The sequence below is a fragment of the Homo sapiens genome, chromosome 6, assembly GCF_000001405.40.
Source record: "Homo sapiens chromosome 6, GRCh38.p14 Primary Assembly".
Lineage (NCBI taxonomy): Eukaryota > Metazoa > Chordata > Mammalia > Primates > Hominidae > Homo > Homo sapiens.
Genome location: NC_000006.12, coordinates 167,571,930 through 167,591,393, shown reverse-complemented (window position 1 = coordinate 167,591,393; position 19,464 = coordinate 167,571,930). Strand labels below are relative to the sequence as shown.

The 19,464-nt window shown below is 46.8% G+C and overlaps 1 long non-coding RNA gene across 3 annotated transcripts; it reads right to left on the bottom strand.

Annotated features, from left to right (window-relative positions):
* Positions 1-2,655: 2,655 nt before the first annotated feature.
* On the bottom strand, positions 2,656-16,560 carry LOC105378131 (uncharacterized). 3 transcript variants are annotated; one of them, XR_943274.2, is made up of 4 exons: positions 16,339-16,560; positions 16,056-16,226; positions 12,562-12,655; positions 2,656-2,925 (listed from the first exon to the last, which is right to left on the bottom strand). It is a non-coding gene; the product is annotated as an uncharacterized LOC105378131 (long non-coding RNA). The 3 variants fall into 3 exon arrangements; XR_001743899.1 differs by lacking the exons at positions 16,056-16,226; positions 16,339-16,560 and adding exons at positions 12,870-13,095; positions 14,362-14,951; XR_943276.1 differs by lacking the exons at positions 2,656-2,925; positions 12,562-12,655 and adding an exon at positions 15,800-15,942.
* Positions 16,561-19,464: the final 2,904 nt, after the last annotated feature.

The window sequence follows — 19,464 nt, the reverse complement described above, 5'->3', positions numbered from 1 at the left end:
GTGGTGGTGGTAGAGGTGGTGGTAGAGGTGGTGGTGGTAGTGAAGGTAGTGGTCATGATGGATGGTGGTGGAGGTAATGGTGATGGCAGTGGTGATGGAGGTAATGGTGGTGATAGTGATGATGACAGTGTGGTGGTGTTGGTGTTGGTAGAGGTGATGATGGTGATGGTGGTGATGGTGGTATTAATGATTGAGACTGTGATTGTGGTGGTGGTGGTGGAGGGTATAATGATAGTGGTAATGGCTGTGGAGGTGGTGGTGGTAGTGAGAATGATGGTGGTGGTGATGATTGAGGCAATGGTTGTGGTGGTGATGATATGTATGTGTTTGTTTTTTCCGTGCATAGGGTTCTGATGGTGGTGGTGTGGTGTTGTGTGTCTGTTTCTGTTCTGTATGTGGGGTGGTGGAAGTGGTGGTGGTGATGGTGCCATACGTGTGTATGTGTCTTCTTTTTGTGGGGAGGGGGAAGTGATATTGATAGTGGTGACAGTGGTGGTGGAGGTGGTGGTAGAGATAGTGTGTGTGTGTGTGTGTCCCGTGTAGTGCAGTGATGGTGTGGTGTGATTCTGTGTGTGTTTGCGTTCTGTATGTAGGAAAGTGTTGGTGGTGGAGGTGGTGGTGATAATGGTGAAAATGGTGGTGGTGGTGGAGATGGAGGTGATAATGGTGGTGGTGATGGTAATGGTGTGTGTGTGTTCTCTGCGTAGGGAGGTGATGGTGTGGTGTGCTGTGTGCATGTTTGTGTTTGTGTGTAGGGAGGAGGTGATGGACGTGGAGGTGATGGTTGTGTTGGTAATGGTGTGTGTATGTTCTCTGCATAGGGAGGTGATGATGTGGCATAGTGCTGTGAGCATGTTTGTGTTTGTGTGTAGGGAGGAGGTGGTGGTGGAGGTGGAGGTGTTAATGGTGGTGGAGGTGGTGATGGTAATGGTGTGTGTGTGTGTTCCCTGCATAGGAGGTGATGGTGGGGTGCTGTGAGCATGTTTGTGTTTGTATGTAGGCAGGAGGTGGCGGTGGAGGTGGAGGTGATGCTTGTGATGGTAATGGTGTGTGTGTGCGTTCTCCGCATAGGGAGGTGATGGTGTGTGGTGCTGTGTGCATGTTTGTGTTTGTATATAGGGAGGAGGTGGTGGTGGAGGTGGAGGTGATAATGGTGGTGGAGGTGGTGATGGTAATGCTGTGTGTGTGCCTTCTCTGCATAGGGAGGTGATGGTGTGGTGTGGTGCCGTGCGCACATTTGTGTCTGTATGTCTGTGTTCTGGCTTAAGAACCCAGAGGGTTAAGGTTGTGGTGGTGATGTGCCTCATACAAGGCTTCGAGACTGTTTGCAGCTTAGAAGTCTGGGAATTTCTGTCATGCCTCTGCAGAGCCTCCTGAGATGTGATGTGCCAGTTGGTAGTTTGTTTTCTGACACTGTCCTTGGCGTTGCTGTGCCTCAGTCTCCTGCAGACATCCTTTATAGCTCTATGGTTCAGAAATTGGCCAAACCCATCGGAGAGCATTTATATTTTTGCCTGGACTCCTTCAAGAGCAGTATTGAGTTCCATAAACTTCCGACCGCCTTTGTGAGAGTGGGCGTTTAAAACATTTGCTCTAAAGGCTCCCGTTTGTGGATTAAGGGCGTGGGCGCCGTCTGCTCAGCCCCCAGGGACCTGACACGTTTCAGGGCACGGGAGGTTCTGCTTCCTCCCAGAGGATTTGGGCAGGGCTGTGTTGGAGGGAAAGGCAGGGTCTGTGGGGGTGAAGATGTGAAGGAAACTTCCTTTAGGGGGATGTGTTTTACTCCCCACAGCCTGTGCTGGGCATGGGACCCAGAGAGTCCTTGCCTGCCAGTCCATCTGGGTGCTTCCCTCTCCTGCAGCCATGCTGCGGTGCTCCAGACCTGAGGGCTGGCCACTGGGTTGGAACATGTTGTTCCTAAAGGAGGCATGAGCCACCGCCTCGTGAAGCCCCTTCCCACCTGGGTCCGCAGGCTGCTGAAGCCGAGTCAGGTGGCATCACCACCGTGTCCTCGTGCCATGCAGGCAGGCTCACCTGTGGAGCTGCAGCCACTGGTGTGGGGTTGTCGGGTGTGGGCTGGGAGTGGGCGTAGGGTGAGGGGTAGCAGCACTCCTGTTTTGGGAGAGGGAGTGGAAGCTCAGGGTACAATCTCCTCTGCTCACGGCCCTGCGGTACCACCTGCCCTAAAACAGCTTTTGGTCGGTTTCTTGGACAGGAATTTAAGAGTGAGACTCCACTGCAGGAGGTACCTTGCTGGATGAAAGGTCTCAGCCAGAGGTTGGCGTGGGCTCCTCTGAAGGAGGAGGATGGAGCAGGGTCTCACATGGCATCCTCTGTGTGGGGCCTCGGGTGTGCCTATCCCACCGTTTTCATTGGTGACAAATGTGGAGCCTGAATGGAGGAGAGAGGACCCTGAGGAAGCCTCCACAGGCCAGCGGCACCACACAGCGGATCCTCGGTGGCTGCTGTCCACACCTCTCAGGTCACTCAGAAAGGAGAGCAGGGGCAGAATAGCCCCACACCCCTTGGGTAGGGGTCCTGATGGTGCCCTAGACGCTTGCCATGGCCTACCCAGGGACCGCAGGGCTTCTGAGCCTGGCCTCAACGAAGAACAGCCTCCCAGTAGGTGACCAGACCAGATGGGCACATGTGTGCATGTGCGTGCGTATGTGGTCCCCTGGAGGTCGGCGTTCAGTGACCGGGTGTGGTGGGGTTCACTTGGCTGGTCCACATGTCAGGCAGGAAAGGCCTGTCTCATTGTAGACTCCCAGGGTCTCGTTCGGCTTCAGTGCCACACAAAGGGGATCTGTATGTTGTTTAGCTCCGATTTCTGTTACTATTTGGCCTCATCCATTGTGTAGTTTTTCTCAGGCTGCTGACTCATCTGAGCAAATCGGCTGGTAGTCGGGCTGCACTGCTGGGGCGCTGTGGAGAATAACACAGAGAGCAATGCCTGCCATGATTCCCTCTGAAAGTGTCCAGATGATTAAATGCTAAAGGAAGAATGGATAATTGTTGGAATTTCAATGGAACACTTCTATTATCAGAGGAAGGAACAGTTTAGTTCCGCACCCCTCCCTAGTTCCAGCTCCACGAGCCCTTGGAAGCTCGGCAGGCGGGAGTCTCCCGGGCTCTGAGTTGTTAATCCTGTCCCCAGGCTGGCATCCACATCTGTGTCAACATGACTAGGGCACTGCAGGGCTCAGCCGACTCATTCCTTGAAAATTAGGAACAAACTCTTGAGGAGGTCTAGATTCTTAGGAAAATGTTGACAACTAAAAGAGACCATAGGGGTCATCTCTCCTGGGCCTCGTTATTTTAAATCTGTGGAAATGGAGGCTCAGAAATGGCAAATGAGTTACTCAAAGAACTTGTTGATGATGGTGTTGGGTCTTGCTTAGACCCCCCACCCGGGTTCCGAGTCACAAATTTCACGCATTTAATCCAGAGTCAGCCACATCTACAAGCTTTGGTTTGGAAAATGTCAGCACCTTCTCCATGGTGCTCTGACAAGGGCCACTTCAGGGGTCATCAGATTGGGGGGTGAGCAAGTGCAGAGGGCAAGATAGGAATGAGCGCACCTATGCAGTGTCCTGAACTTCACCCTGGCTGGAAACACCCTCTCCTCTCCTGCCTCCTCTCCCCTCCCCCCTCCACCTCTCCCTCTTCCACTCCGCCTCTTTCTCCTCCCCTCCCCTTGTCTTTCTCCTCCCCCTCCTTCTCTTTCCCTCCTCTCCCATCTTCCATGCTGTTTTCTATAATGGTTGTACTAATTTATATTTCTGCCAACAGTGTGTGAGGGCTCTCTTTTCTCCACATCCTTGCCAACACTTGTTAAATCTTTTGTCTTTTTGATAACAACCATCTTAACAGATATGAGGCGATATCTCATTGTGGTTTTAATTTGTGTTTTCCTGATGATTAGTGATGAGTGTTTTTCCGTAAATCTATTGACCATTTGTATGTCTTCTTTTCAGAAATGTCTACTCAGATGCTTCGTCCATTTATAGAAAGTGTTGTTTTCTTGCTATTGAGTTGTTTGAGTTCTTTATATGCACTCATGCCCAGCACAACCTATGCCCACCCCCACCCTACACCCCACAACCCCACACCAGTGGCTGCAGCTCCACAGGTGAGCCGGCCTGCATGGCACGAGGACATAGTGGTGACGCCACCTGACATTTTGGACAATCATGGAGCACATATACAACAGTGGTCCATACAATTTTAAGACCATTTTTTACTGTAATTTTACTATGTTTAGATACACAAACACCTAATGTTGTGTTACAATTGCCTCTAGTATTCAGTATAGTAACACGCTGTATAGGTTTGTAGCCTTGGAGCAATAGGCTATACTGTATAGCCTAAGTGTGTAGTGTGCTGTACCATCTAGGTGTGTGTAAGTACACTCTAATGATATTCACACAACAATTAAATCTTGTAATGACACATCTCAGAACGTATTCCTGTCATTAAGCATCACATGACTATATTTTGGATATTAATCCCTTATCAGTTATAGAGTTTGCAAATATTTTATCCCATTCTGTGGGCTGTCTCTTCACTCTGTTGATTCTTTCCTTGCTGTGTAATCCCATTTGTCTATTTTTGCTTTTGTTATCTGTGCTTTTGAGGATATATCCAAAAAATTATCACCCAGACCAATGTCATTGAGCTTTTCCCTATGTTTTCTTATGGTAGTTTTATAGTTTTGGGTCTTACACTGAAGTCTTTAATGCGTTTGGAATTGATTTTTGTATATGGTGTGAGTTAGGGGTCTAGTGTCATTCTACATGTGAATATCCAGCCTTCCCAATGCTATTTATTGAAGACTGTCCTTTCCCCACTGCATGTTCTTAGCATCCTTGTTGAAAATGAGCTGGCTGTAAATATGTGGGTTTATTTCTGGGCTACCTATTCTGTTCCATTGGTCTATGTGTCTGTTTTTATGTCAGTATAGTGCTGTTTTGTTTACCGTACCTTTTAGTATATTTTGAAGTCAGGTAGCATTATGCCTCCTGCTTTGTTCTTGTTGCTCAAGATTACTTTGGCTGTTGGAGGTCTTTTGTGGCTCCATACACATTTTAGGATGTTTTTTCTATTTCTGTGAAGAATAGAATTGGTATTTTGACAGAGATGGCATTGAATCTGTAGATCACTTTGTGTAGTATGGACAGTTTATTAGTACTAATTTTTCTGATCCATGAAAACAGAACATCTTTTTGTTTATTTGTGTCTACTTCAATTACTTTCATCAGTATTTTATAGTTTTCAATACAGAGACCTTTCACTCTTGGGTTACATTTATTTCTATTTTATTTTTTGGCAGCTACTGTAAATGGGATTGTTTTCTTGATTTCTTTTTTTTTGGATAGTTCACTGTTAATATATAGAAACACTACAGATTTTTGTATGTTCATTTTGTATCTTGCAAGTTTCCCGAATTTATTTGTTCTAACAGTTTTTAAATAGTCTTTAGGGTTGTCTATATATAAGATCATGTCATCTGCAAACAGGGACAATTTAACTTGTTCCTTTCCAATTTGGATGCCTTTTAATTCTTTCTTTTGCCTAATTGCTCTTGCTAGGACTTCCAATGCTAGAAGTTGCATAGAAGTGGTAAGGGGGCATCCTTGTCTTGTTCTAGATCTTAGAGGAAAAGCTTTCAACTTTTCCTTGTTCAATATGATGTAAGCTGGGGTGTGTCATGCATGGCCTTTATTATGTTTAGGTACTTTCCTTCTATATCTATTTTATTGAGAGTTTTCATCATGAAGGATTTTGAATTTTATCAAATGATTTTTCTGCATCTATTGAAATGATTGTATGGTTTTTATCCTGAAATATGTTAATGTGATGTGTCACATTTATTTTGATTTACGTATGCTGAACCATCCTTGTATTCCTGAGATGAATCCCACATTACCATGGTGAATGATCTTTTTGATGTATTGTTAAATTTGGTTTGCTAGTATTTTGTTGAGGAGTTTTGCATCTATCTTCATCAAGGATATTGGCCTGCTCTTTTCTTTTTGTGCATGCCTCTGTGTGTGTGTGTGCGTGTGTCTGTGTGTGTGCTGTCCTTGTTCAGCTTTGGTATTGGCGTAATGTTGGCCTTGTAAAATGAGTTGAGAAGTGTTCTATTTTCTTCAATGTTTTGAAAGATTTTAACAATAATTGGTATTAGTTTTTCTTTAAATGTTTGATAGAATTAAACAAAAGCCATACAGTTCTTGCCTTTTCTTTGATGAGAGACTTTTTATTACTGTTTTGATCTCATTACTCATTATTGGTCTGTTCAGGTTTTCTATTTCTTTATGATTCAGTTTTGATAAGTTATATGTGTCAAGGAATTTATTTCTTTTAGGTTATTCAATTTGTTGGCATATAATTGCTCATATTAGTCTCATGTTTTTTTTTGTATTTCTGTTGTATCAGTTGAAATGCCTCTCTTTTTATCTATGATTTTATTTGCACATTCTCTTTTTTTCTTAGTTTAACTAAAGTCTAGTGGAATTTATTTATCTGTTTAAAAGCACAACTCTCATTTTTGTTGATCTTTTCTATTTTTTTAGTCTCTATTTCATTTATTCCTGCTGTGACCTTTATTATTTTCTTCCTTTTACTTACTTTGGGGTTAGTTTGTTCTTGTTTTTCTGATTCCTTGAGGTGCAATGTTAGGTTGTTTATTTAGTGTCCTTCTTTTTTTTGTGTAGGAGTTGATTGCTATAAACTTCCCTTTAGAACTGCCTTTCCTATATCCCACAAGTTTTGGTATGTCATATTTTCACTTTTGTTTGCCTGAACAAAATTTTACATTTCCCTTTTAATTTCTTCATGGCTTCATTGGTTGTTCAATAGCATGTTTAACTTGCATGTATTTGTGAATTTTCCAAAGTTCCTTATGTAATTGATTCCTAGTTTTATACCACTGTGGTCAGAAAAGTTACTTTTAATCTTAAATTTGTTAAGATTTGCTTTGTAGCCTAGCACATAATTATTCTAGGAACTGTTCCATGTGCAGTTGAGAAAAATGAGTATTCTGCAGCTGCTGGATGGAATGTTCTAGATATGTCTGTTATGTCCATTTGGTCTAGAGTATAGTTTAAGTTCAATGCTTCCTTATTTACTTTCTGTATAGCTGATCTGACCAATGTCGAAAGTGGCATATTGATGTTCCCCACTATTATTGTGTTACAGTCTATATCTCCCTTCAGCTCTATTAATATTTGCTTCATAAATTTGTATACTCCAATTCCAGTATCTAAATATATAGACCAAATATTATATAAATATTATATAAAATATTAATAATCATTATATCTTCTTGCTGGATTGTTTCTTTTGTTGTTATTAATGACCCTCTTTGTCCTTTTTTTACAGTTTTTTAAAGTCTATTTTATCTGATATAACTATTCCTATTTTGATTTCCATTTGCATGGACTGTCTTTACCTATTCCTTCACTTTCAGTCTATGTGTGTCCTTTTCTTACATTGCATATCCTTAACAATTTTTGCAGCTATAGTTATTTTTAATAACTTTGTCTTTTAACCTTCATAGTAAAGATATAAGTAATTTGCACACCACCACTATAGTGGCAGAGTTCTAAATTTGACTGTGTACTTACTTTTACCAACAAATTTATACTGGAAGAACTCCCTTTAGCATTTCTTGTAAAACAGCTCTGATAGTTATGAACTCTGTCAGCGTTTGTCTAAGAAAATATCCTTTCTTAATTAGTGAAGAACAGCTTTGCTGGGTACAATATTCTTGCTTGGCATTTTTTTGTTGTTGTTTCTTAAACACTCGGAATATATCATCCCACTGCCTCCTGTAAAGTTTCTTCTGAAAGGTCTGCTGATAGCTGTTTGGGAAGTCCCTTATATGTTATTTGCTTTTTTTCCTCTTGCTGCCCCCAGAATCCTCTCTATGTCTTTGATTTTTGACAATATGATTATATGTCTGGGGTAGTCTTATTTGGATTGAATCTTATTTGGATTGGTGACCTTTGACTTTCCTGTACCTGGATACTTAAGTGTATTTTCAGGTTTTAAAAGTTTCTGCTACTGTTTCTTTTTTTTTTTAACTCTTCGTTTAAATACACTTTTTACCACTTTATCTTCCTCTTCTTCTTTAACTCCTATGATTCAAATATTTGCTCTTTTTATGCTGTTTCATAAATCCCATAAGCTTTTTTCATTTATTTTCATTCTTTTTTCCCTCTGAGTGTATATTTTCAAATAACTTATCTTTGAGTTCATAGATTCTTTCTTCTGCTTTATCAATTTTACTATTGATACTCTATTAAATTTTTCATTTCGTTCATTGTATTTGAATTTTTCAGCTCCAGGATTTCTGTTTTATTTATTTATTTAATTATTGCAATCTCTCTATTAAATTTCTCATCTGGCCAGTTATTGTTTTCCTTAATTCATTGAATTGCTTCTCTGCCTTTTCTTGAAGTTCGCTAAGCTTCTTTAAAAGTTACTTTAAATTGTTTTTCAGGAAGTTTATTTATCTCCATTTCTTTAAGGTTGGTCAATAACACTTTAGTTTGTTGCATTGGTGATGTCATGTTTCCCTGATTGTTCTTAACCCTTGTGGCTATGCATTGATGTTGGTATATTTGCAGATGTAGGTATCTATTTCAGTCTTCTGAGAAGTGCTTTGTCTGGGAAAGCCCTTCAGTAGTCTGCCTGGGCCAGGCACAGTGGTTCATGCCTGTAATTCCAACACTCTGGGAAGCTGAGGTGGGAGGATCGCTTGAGTCCAGGAGGTTGAGGCCAATCTGGGCAACATAGTGAGACCCTGTCTTTGCAAAAAATAAACAAAATTAACTGGGTGTCTTGGCATGTGCATGTATTCCCAGCTACTTGGGAGGCTGAGATGGGAGGATTTCTTCAGCCTTGGAGGTGGAGGCCACAGTGAGCCATGATCATAACACTGCATTCCAGCCTGGGTGACAAAGCAAGAGCCTCTCTCTCTTTCTCTCTCTCTCTCTCTATATATATATACACACATATATATATATATATATACACACACACACACATATATATACACACACATATATATACACCCACACATATATATATACACACATATATATATACACACATATATATACACATATATGTGTGTGTGTATATATACACATATATGTATGTATATATATACACTCATATATATGTATGTATATATATATATACATACATATATATGTGTGTGTGTATATATATATATGCACGTATATATATATATAAAGTCAGCCTGTCCAGAGATTCTAAGCAGGCTTTCTGGCTTAGTTCTGAAGCCTGGGACTGCTACCAATGTGCATGGCACTGGGGCATGCCAGAAGTCTGCAGTTGCTGCACCTGGTGCATTGCTTGGGTGAGCCAGAAGCTCAGGGCTCAACCTGGCTGGAGCAGTGCTGGGGCAAGCCAGAAGCCTGGGGCCCACTGGTACTGTGCTGGGGCCTACCTGAAGCTAGGAGCCATTGGGTCCTGCCTGCTGATGAGGACTGTAGGGAGGCCGGGGCTGCTGACATTGACTGAGGAGTTGCGTGGGCCAGAGGTCAAGTTAGCCACGCAAGCCAGAAGCCTGAGGCTATGTGGTCCAGCCTGGCACTGCAGCAGGTCTGGAGGCTCAGTCTTTGGGTTCCAACCTGGACTCTGGGGCCATGGAGGCCTGCCCAGTGCTGGATTTTACTGCGGCGGGCTCAGTATTTGGACATCTTTGCTCACTTCCCGGTTTCCCCTGAGCAGACAGTCTCTCCATGCTATGCTCCTGGGCTGGAGGAGGGGTGATGTGGATAATGGAAAAGAGAACTTTGTATCTTATTTGACACATCTTTTCTTATTGTGCTATAACCCAGTGGTATGGTCTCACATCTGATTGACTCAGCTCTTGTGATGGTACTTTCATTTGCATGTTCAAATTGGTGTTTTTGTGAGGGAATCATCACGAGAGAGACCTCTTCTGCTGTCTTGCTCCCCACTCTAGGCTGTCAGTGTGTCTTTGAATGGAGAATAAATTATATGCTGTCAAATCACCAGTGTCAGATGTAGATAAAAATCATAATCTATGAAAAATGCAAATAAAATTTGAAATCTACAAATAACCTTTAAATCTTATTTCATTTAAAACCAACCTTGAACCCTTTGAAACTGTAAGCACATACATTGTATTCTTTTTAATGCCCATAAAGTGCTTTTTAAGTTCTTTCTCACACAGTAAAAATTTCTAAACAATGAAACTCATTTCTCGGATCCTGTCTAGATGTTTAGCATAGTGTCTATGGTGCATTTTCTTGCTTTAGGAAAAGCGTCCAATGTCATTGGCTTGGACATCCTGATGGTCTCTCTGTCTACTTTTCTCCTTGTCCCCTCTGTCGTCCTGTCCATCTCCTGTCTTCTGGGGAGTGTTCAAGTGCACAGCCATCAATAAGAACCTTTGAACAGAATAATCTGTATAAAGCAGTACTCAGAGACGCTACTGTGCAAATAAAGAATGTGTATTGTAGATAATACCCCAAATAGGAACTATAAAAGACGGGACTTGAAGATGTGACTGTATTTTTTTCCCTTCCCAGTGAAGAGTCTTGTGCAATCCTGGGCAGGCGCCACTCTGAGCCCACTCTGAGCTGGCCCCTGTAGACACGAAACCAAGAGGGAGGCTGTCTGGGTGTGTCTGGGTTTGTGCTCTTCTAGAAATGTGTCCATTTTAGAAAATGGGTATTTGCTCAGCTGTTTCTAATTCACTATGTCAGTCTGTTTCCTGCTACTGTGAATAGAAGAATATATTCAGTAATTCCTTTAGGGGGTGGTCTTTGTATATTCATTTCGTGAGATAACTGCCAGTTAATTTTTCTCTAATTTCCTCCCCAGCTGCTACACTCCTGTTGCTCTAAGAACTATAGCCACTCAAAATGTGTCTAGTTCATGGATTCCCCTCCTTGCTTGTTTTAATATTAAACTGGAAAATGTGTCTTTAATATTCTACTTTCATTTATTGATGGCTTTGTATTCCTTTTAGCATTCAACGTCTTTGTGAGTTAATTTCTCCCACATTGCTTATTTTAAGAAAAAAATTCCAAAGTGTCATTTTTGACAAGGACTTTGTTTGAAATGACAATGTATGTATTATGCTCCATTAAATGGGCTAAGATCTCAGTGTGATTACAAGAAAATCCTTGAAGCTAATGTGAATATTTGATCTTCCACCAAGAGACGAGCTCCTTTATTTTCAACTAAAGCATTTTTTTTTCAACATAGGAACGTTTTTACTAATCTTACTAGAGAGTGACGTACAAATGAAAATGGTGTGAAAGGCAGAAAGCATTCATATTATTGGCTTCTTACTGTGTGCTTGTCATTGGAGCCAAGCAGTCAACAGGCTCCCTCGATCCCATTAATTCTCCTGACTCATGAGCTGCATGACACAGGCCCCTTCTGTGAATGGGGGTCTGAGGCTCAGAGTGGAATGAAGGCAGGAATTGAACCCGGGTCGTTCGACTGCACAAAATACACAGGCACCCCCTCCTCTTTGTCTCTCCAGATCACAGTTTATGCCCAGCCTCCTCACTTGTCCTCTCATCAAGCTCTGCTCTCTTCACACCTTTTTACTCCACACCTGGCTTTCTCCTTCCCAATTTATCTTTTCTCTCTGTCATTCCCCAGGGCCCAATGGCAACGGGTCAGCGCAGAGTCACATGTGCTCACGTAACAGGTGCCAGTGGCTTCACACAAGCTTTTCCAACAAAAGCCTTTTTAAGCACAACATGCAAGAGCATGGCACCACATTCTAAACTTCAGACACCAGGGCTGGCCACCAGAAGAGTTCAACTGCAAATAAACAGATTTCATAGCAGAAAATGGAGGGTCCTTTGAATGGGGGCTGGAGAGATTTGGGGGGGAAGCAGGAGTTGGTCAGTGTTCTTTGTCCCCTACCCTGTGCCCTGACTCCTCAGGTAGGTAAATATGGGGTGAGGTCCTTGCCCTAGGGGAACTCATGCATAGAAGGTGTGCGAGAAAACACACAAGACAAACACACTGATGAGTTCAAGTCAACACAGGACCACAAAGAAAATGAAGAGGCTCAGAGCACGTTACCAAAGCCACCTGGTCTGTTTTTTAAAACGCTTTAAACTTTAAATTTGTAGTTGTTGTGTTCTAAGCCTCGTGCCTGTGGCTGTGACCTTACTTGGAAGCAGGTTCTTTGCAGATGTCATCAAGTGAAGTGAGGCCACAAGGTGGGCCCAACATTGGAAGTCGGGCCCGGTGAGAGGAGACTGGTTCACAGGGCAGTTTGCCATGAATGGTTTAGCACCATCCTCTTTGGTACTCTCCTCGTGAGAGTGAGTGGGTTCTCATGAGATGTGGTTGTTAAAAGTGTGTGGCACCTCCCTTCCGCCTGCTCCCACCATGTGACCCGCCTGCTCCCCCTTTGCCTTCTGCCAGGAGGAAGCTTTCTGAGGCCTCCCCAAAGCAGAAGCTGCTATGCTTCCTGTACAACCAGCAGACCCATGAGACAATTAACCTCTTTTCTTTATAAATTACCCCGTCTCAGGCGTTCCTTCACAGCCCTGCGAGCATAGACGAATCCGGCAACCAGGAAGACGACTCGGCATTGGGCTCTTCTCATCACCAGCTTCTAAAATAGAGAAAACAGAGAGAGTGTGGTGCAGCAGCATGTGGCATTGAGGAGAGCTCGAGTCCTTTCCACGCTGGGCTGCGTGGTGGCTGCAGGGCTGTGGGTGCAGCCTGCTCCCTCTCCCTCCTTGACGCCACTGGCCCAGCGCCTGCTGCTATAGGCAGCTGAGCATTCCCAGGTTCCTCCTCGGCCTTCCTCTGCCCTGTCCACCTACCAGGAGGGTGCCCTCAGACCTCTGGACTTCTAAAGTTTTCCCGTGCCGGCCACCAGGGCTTTAGGTGTTAATTTCACCATCTTGAGCTTTGGACAGAGCAGGGTGTAGTTTTCAAGTCCTTTCTGCTTCTTCAGTCACCCCTGCATCCCCGTCCTGTTTTCGCATCAAGGCCCTTAGCCGTGCTGAGGACAAGCTTTGTGGTGAGATCCTTGCTGGGCATCAGCCTCTGTGGGAAGAGGCCTTGGATCAGAGCTCTCCCACCGCCACGGCCCTGGCCTCCCCGGATAGCATCTCTGGTGGGTCTCACCCATTCACGCAGCGTGCAGACGCTCATGCCAGCTTTGCTTCTGACTCTGCAGGATGCAGTCTGGGATAACAGGCCCACACACAGACTCTGCAGAGACAGGTGCCTCCCTGCATCACCAGGTGGACGCTGATGTCAGCCCAGCCCCACGCTCCACACACCCAGCTGTGTGCTCCAAGCCGAACTCTCAGGAATGAGTGAGAGCTCCGTGCACTCACAGCTCTCTGTGCATGGGGAGCAGGGGGACCCGATGCCCCTGCCCAAGATCCAGGGGTGGCAGTGCTGATGGCTGGAGGCAAATGGCCCCACGGTGCCTCTCCTGAGACTGAGTTTCTCTTGGCCTTTACCCACCCTGCTCTGTAACCCAACACCAACTGCACGAAAGGGTGGCCTTGCTGCTTGTTTTTTAGCTAAAGTGCAATGGGAAATATCCTGAATGCTGGGATTTGAAAACAAACAACAAAAAATTAAAAAACAAACAAACAAAATTTGTTTGAAAATAGCACTCCTGCTCTGAGGGAATTTCCTTAGGTCTGACAGGCTTACGTCGCTCCCTTCTATGCCCTGGATGCCTTCACTGAGGGCTTGCTACTCCCTAACACTGGGCTTAGCACTTCTCTTGCATGATCTTATTTATATTAGCAAAAGCTCCATCAGACTTTCAATACCATCACTGAACAGAGGAAACAACATTCAGGAGAGTGAAGTCAAAGGCCAATGGTTGAATGACGAGGCACTTGCAGGACGGAGGTTTGGGCTCAGACACAGGGCGGTGGACACGGCTGCGGACCACGCCACATCCCAGCACACACACTGCACCACGTCTGCACACAGTTCATGGCTGACCCCGCCGGCGACATCTGCCCACACTCCAGGAACAAGATGTTTTCTTCTTCCACTGTTGTGAGCTGGGATGGAGCAGAGCCAGCCCTCCCACTCTGAGGGCATGTGAGGAAGGGCTTTTAATCTTAGTGGCTTTGTCGTTTAGCTGCTTGGTAAAGAAGTGTCCCAGGTGCGAGAGGGAGAGAGGATGAGTGAGTCAGTGCCCTACGCATACGGTGCCTGGGAGGGGGCTGCACGGGAGTCTGGGGGAGGGCGTCCTCAGCCCATATGCCTTGCCACCCCTCCAGGTGTCCCACAAACGCTCTCTTTAATGTGCTTTCTGTGCTCCCAGGCAGGGTTCCTCACCATCTGTAGGAGGCTTCAGATCCTGGAGAGGTCTAACTGCAAACATCTGTCGCTGTTTGTCCTGCTGCTTTGTAGATCAGGCTAAAGGGTCTCTATGAGCCCAAATTTCCTGCGGTGCAAATATCAAACCTGTCTGAGAAAACACGTCCAACCTGCTTTGAAACCTTCGCAGTTAGATAGAGATCTTGTTCTTCAGGAATTTGGGTACCTGACATTTCTCATCGCCCGTGTTTTCTTTGCGCGGGTAGTGTCCCTGCATGGGCAGGGCCGGGGTTCTGGGCTGTGAGGGGGCGTCTGTGCAGCAGCCTGGCATTCTGGGACTTTGGGGTGAGGAGGGCAGAGGAAGAGTCAGGATGATGCTAAGGATGGGGAGACGGGAGGCAAATTCAAGGACGGTTTCCAGACCCCTCCCCAGGCAGTGGGTTTGGCAGCGAGGCGGGAGTTGAAAGTCCTTCTGAACTGGGAGGGGTCCCTAGCACTGGCACCCATGCAGCCCTCCAATACGCCTAGTGCTGGAACCCACGCAGCCCTCTGACACCCCTAGAGCTGGCACCCACACGGCCCTCCAATATCCCTAGCACTGGCACCCACATGGTCCTCTGACGCCTCTAGCCTTGGCACCCACGCTGCCCTCCCATGCTCCTAACGCTGGCACTCACGCGGCCCTCGACGCCCCTAGCGCTGGCGCCCACTCGGCCCTCCTACACCATAAGCTTGAATCCTGCCCTCGTCAATGGGTGACCTAGGAGCCACGGCTCCGGACCCTGGACTCCACACTCCTGCTTCCCCCGAGCCCTAGACACAAGTTCTTTTGGCACCTTCCCTGCATCCAAGACCCCTCTGCGCCATTCTTGCAACAAATGAGCCTCCTCTTAGCTCAGCCCCAGCCACTGGGAGGCCAGAGGATGCCCAGGGCCCTGCTGAAGGGAGCATCTGGGGGCTTTTCCTGTATCTCAGGCATTTCTCTGGCTCTTCTCATTAACAACCCCTGACACTATTCCATTCCAGTCTTTTTTCCTAAGCATCCCCCGAAAGAAGATCTAGGAGTGTGCGTTTGGCTTTTCGAGGATGGAGCAGACACAGCAAAACCCCGGGGGAGAGTTGTGCACAAAGCCCTCTCCCCACCTTGGCCTCACCCTCTCCCACCTTGGCCCCACCCTCTCCCACCTTGGCCCCACCCTCTCCCACCTTGGCCTCACCCTCTCCCACCTTGGCCTCACCCTCTCCCACCTTGGCCCCACCCTCTCCTACCTTGGCCCCACCCTCTCCCACCTTGGCCCCACCCTCTCCCACCTTGGCCCCACCCTCTCCCACCTTAGCCCCACCCTCTCCCACCTTGGCCCCACCCTCTCCCACCTTGGCCCCACCCTCTCCTGACGCATAAAACGGCGCTTTCCCCAGGCCCCGTCTCAGTGCATCCTAGTTGCGTGACAGAAGCGCCACACACACAGTTCTGGAGGCTGGGAGGCCAAGGCGAAGGCAGGTTAGACGTCTGGGGAGAACAGCTCCTGGCTCACAGATGGCGCCTTCTCGCTGTGCCCTCACGTGGCGGAAGGGGTGATGGAGTCTCAGGGGCCTCTTCTGTAAGGGAGGGCACCCATCCCCTTCACAAGGGCTCCACCCTCATGACTTTGCCACCTCCCAACGGTGATTAGTCGCCTCCTAAACCGCCACTGTGGGATGAAGGTTCCTACCCTATGAACGTTGGGGACGAAAGCATTCAGGCCGTGACAGACCCAGCATGGCGAATGGATGAGAGCCCTGCTGACGCCTTCGTCTCAGACTTCCGGCTTCCAGAACTGGGGGAGGATACATTTCTGTTGTCTTAAGCCAGTTTCTGTCATTCGTGGTACTTCACAGCAGCTCTAGAAAATGAATTCATTTGGTAAAGTGTGAATAAATCGTATTTGAATACGCCGACATCAAATGAATGTTTATTGTGAATTCTTTAAAAAGTGTCTCATTATGCAGACTCACTTTGGCCTCTCCACGGCTACGCCGACCTCAGCTTTTTCTCGGTGGAAGTGCGGGAGCAGCCGCCGTGCGCTTGGGAACAGCTGTGCTGGAACAGTGCACAGGGCTAAGAACAAGAGAGGAGCGGCCCTGGCTGTGGAGGGCGGCGGGACCGCTCTCCAGGGAGTCTCTGGCTCACCCAGGCAGAATCCTGTGAAACGCTTTCCTCTCGCCTGGCACAGGGCAGCCCTGTCAGCGGCCGGCCTCTAGAGCTCGAGGTTGCTGTGCTTTCAAACCATGGGGTGGGGCTTTCAGACGAGGGAACCTAAGGTCCCTGGGGAGTCTGCCTCGTAGGCTGGGCCAGGGAGTGGACATTGGGATGTTTGAAAAGTCTCCCAGGTCTTCCTGAGGGGCACCAAAAGGGTAGATCCACAAGTGTGGGGGTTCCGAGCCTGGCACGGCAGAGGGACCCCACATGGACACGTACCTGAGTAGGCTCCCCACGGCAGGCTCCACACGCGTCTGCCCACAGCCCCGTTCACATGACTTTATCAAGCATGAGTGGTGGACATTTTCTAAACATCAATAATAATAATAATAAAATAAAATCAAACAAGCCTGTTAGAAGCAAGACTTGACTAGTTTTCTACTCTCTTTAGAGAAAATATGTCGAAGTGCCAGTCACCATCAGGCACTTAATCAACAAAATCGTTTTTCCTTTTTATGACGCCTGTTGTATTTGTCAGCTTTTGAACCGTCATAATTTGTTGTAATTTCTTTTCTATTCCAAATAATTTTCCAATTTCTATCTCATTTTGTGTTTATAATTTCACGTTCTTTTTCTTAATTGTGCTCCCTAATTGTGTACGTTTCAAAGCCTTTACAAAGTAGCTCAGCCCCTCATGAAAAACCATAGCATGGGAAGAACCACCTGTTCCAGAGGCTTCCATAGCTCCTTCCCCAGGTCTTTCTGGGTCCCAATGAGTCTGGGGCTAGGACCGGGGGTCCCAGCAGCCATTGGAGAGGCCAGGGAGGCCAGGGGGGAACGGGTGACATGGGAAGGTCCTGGCCACAGCCTGACCCCATGAAGACTTTTGAGAGCAGAAAGAAAAAAAAAAAAAAAGACTTTGGCAGCTGCTATGAGTTTGGAATTTTGGGGAGTGTATGAGATGTCAAGTAAGAATTTTAAGGAGTGCTGCTGAGAATTTTGCTTGTATTTCTGCCTGCGTTTATGTGTGTGTGTCTTGGCAGAAAGGGAGAGAGCAGGGAGGCAGAGAGAGACAACAGAGAATTCAGTTATTTTTAAAACTTTTTTTTTTTTTTGGCAGTGAGTCTGTTATTTGAATGTAACTTTAAACAAAGATTGAGCCACACGGGGCCTGGGATTCTGTTCAGGTTTTGCACCGTGACCAACGTCAGGATGCTGTTTTCTTTTTGATTTTCCCGGCTCCCCAGTGCCGTTAGCCACGGGGATCGCAGCTGTGTGTGTGCAGCAGTGCCTTCTTCTGTGGCCGAGCCTCAGCCTCTCCTACCCCTTCACCCAGGGCGGGCTCCCGAGCTCTGCGCAGCCACCTCACCTGCCACAGAGGGGAATTCCATAGAACAGGGCCCGTTTCAGATTCTTGTTAGAGGTCCTTATTAATAAAGTCTTTGAAGGAATCTTCCAATCAAGAGTTGACAAAACCGCATATTTTGGATGGGGTGTGAACATCGTGGTGAGTCCTGGGGCTCAGAGAACCTGAAGTTCTCAGCACTTTTGGTCAGTCTTTCTGTGGGTTGCGATGAAAGGAAATGAATGAGAAGGCAGAAGGGGACCCTGTCCCCAGGTTGGAGGCAGTGCCTGTCCCCAGGAGGCAGAGGAGGCACCCGCAGAGGTACCAGGAAGCCCCAGTGCGTGGGGCTGTCAAGGAAGGCAGTGGCCTACATGGCAGGGCTTTGCTGGCTGGGGATCTGCTCTGTGTAGGGAGAGGAACGGGTGCTGGAAGGATGCCTCGGGTGCATGCTGTTTCTGGGCCAGATTGGCAGGCTCTGGAGCGTCTGGGGGGACGTCCTGGGATCTGAGTGACAGCGAGTCTGTCGTAGCTGAATTGAGATTCACATTGTTTTTAGTTGATGTGACTCCCGGCTCCATTCGGGTGAGTTCCTGGGGCGGGGCTGACATGGCTCCATCTGCAGAGTGAGGACGCAGATTCAGGGAACTGCTGGGGCGCCCTCACAGGCTCAAAGTTCTCATCATTTCCAGAATCCATCATCCAATTTTGCGGGGAGGAGGTGTGTACGGGGGGTGGTACGGAGAGAAGAGTGTTTGGGTAGCAAAAATGCTCTTAAATGATGCATGATTCTATTCGATGGCCTTTTATAGAAATGTAACAGTGATTTGCTGTGATGTTTATTAACAGGCTCTCTCCTCCATAATTTATTTTGTTTTTTAAACCCTGCAGACCCCACCCCCAATTCCAGAGTGTCAGGGCAGCTGCTGACTTCCTCAGGTGTTAGAGGCTGGGAGTGGAAGGAAGCTATTTTCCCATTTTTACTGAAACCTGGGTATCCTGACAGGGAAGAGTAGAAATGAACTGCTTTTGAAGGTGAGGGTAAGGGAGAAGGTTGCCCAGCCCGGGAAGGAACCCAGGCTGGTGGCGCCCATGAGCCCCTCAGTGGTGGGGCTGGTGGGGTTGAGGAGCTGGTGACATCGGCTGCCCGGCGTGCCTGCGTGTAGCAAGGCTGGGCTGGGCACAGGGACCCCAAGCCTCAGGGATCTCCCGCTTGCCTGGGGGGACCCCCGGGCCTCAAGGAACCCCCTATTGCCTGAGGGGACCCCTGTGTCTCAAGGAACCCCCCATTGCCTGAGGGGACCCCGGGCCTCAGGGGCACACAAGCAGCAGGGCCCTGACTCAAGGGTTCATCTGGGTAACCGGGTGGGCTGGTGAGAAAGGCCTTTCCTGGATGCTTACCTCAGTGTTAGACCCTTGGTGGGGGCCCCATCCCCACTCTGGGGTGTCAGGGAAACCTCAGTTTTCATTAAGACAGAATTTCCCGTGAGCTTTTATGGAATGTTGGTTGGAGTTGGATTTAGCTTGATTTAAATAAAATAAGCAACGGTGACATTGTACCCTAAGATCGGGGAAGCAAATTCCTGCCCACTGTGTTAAT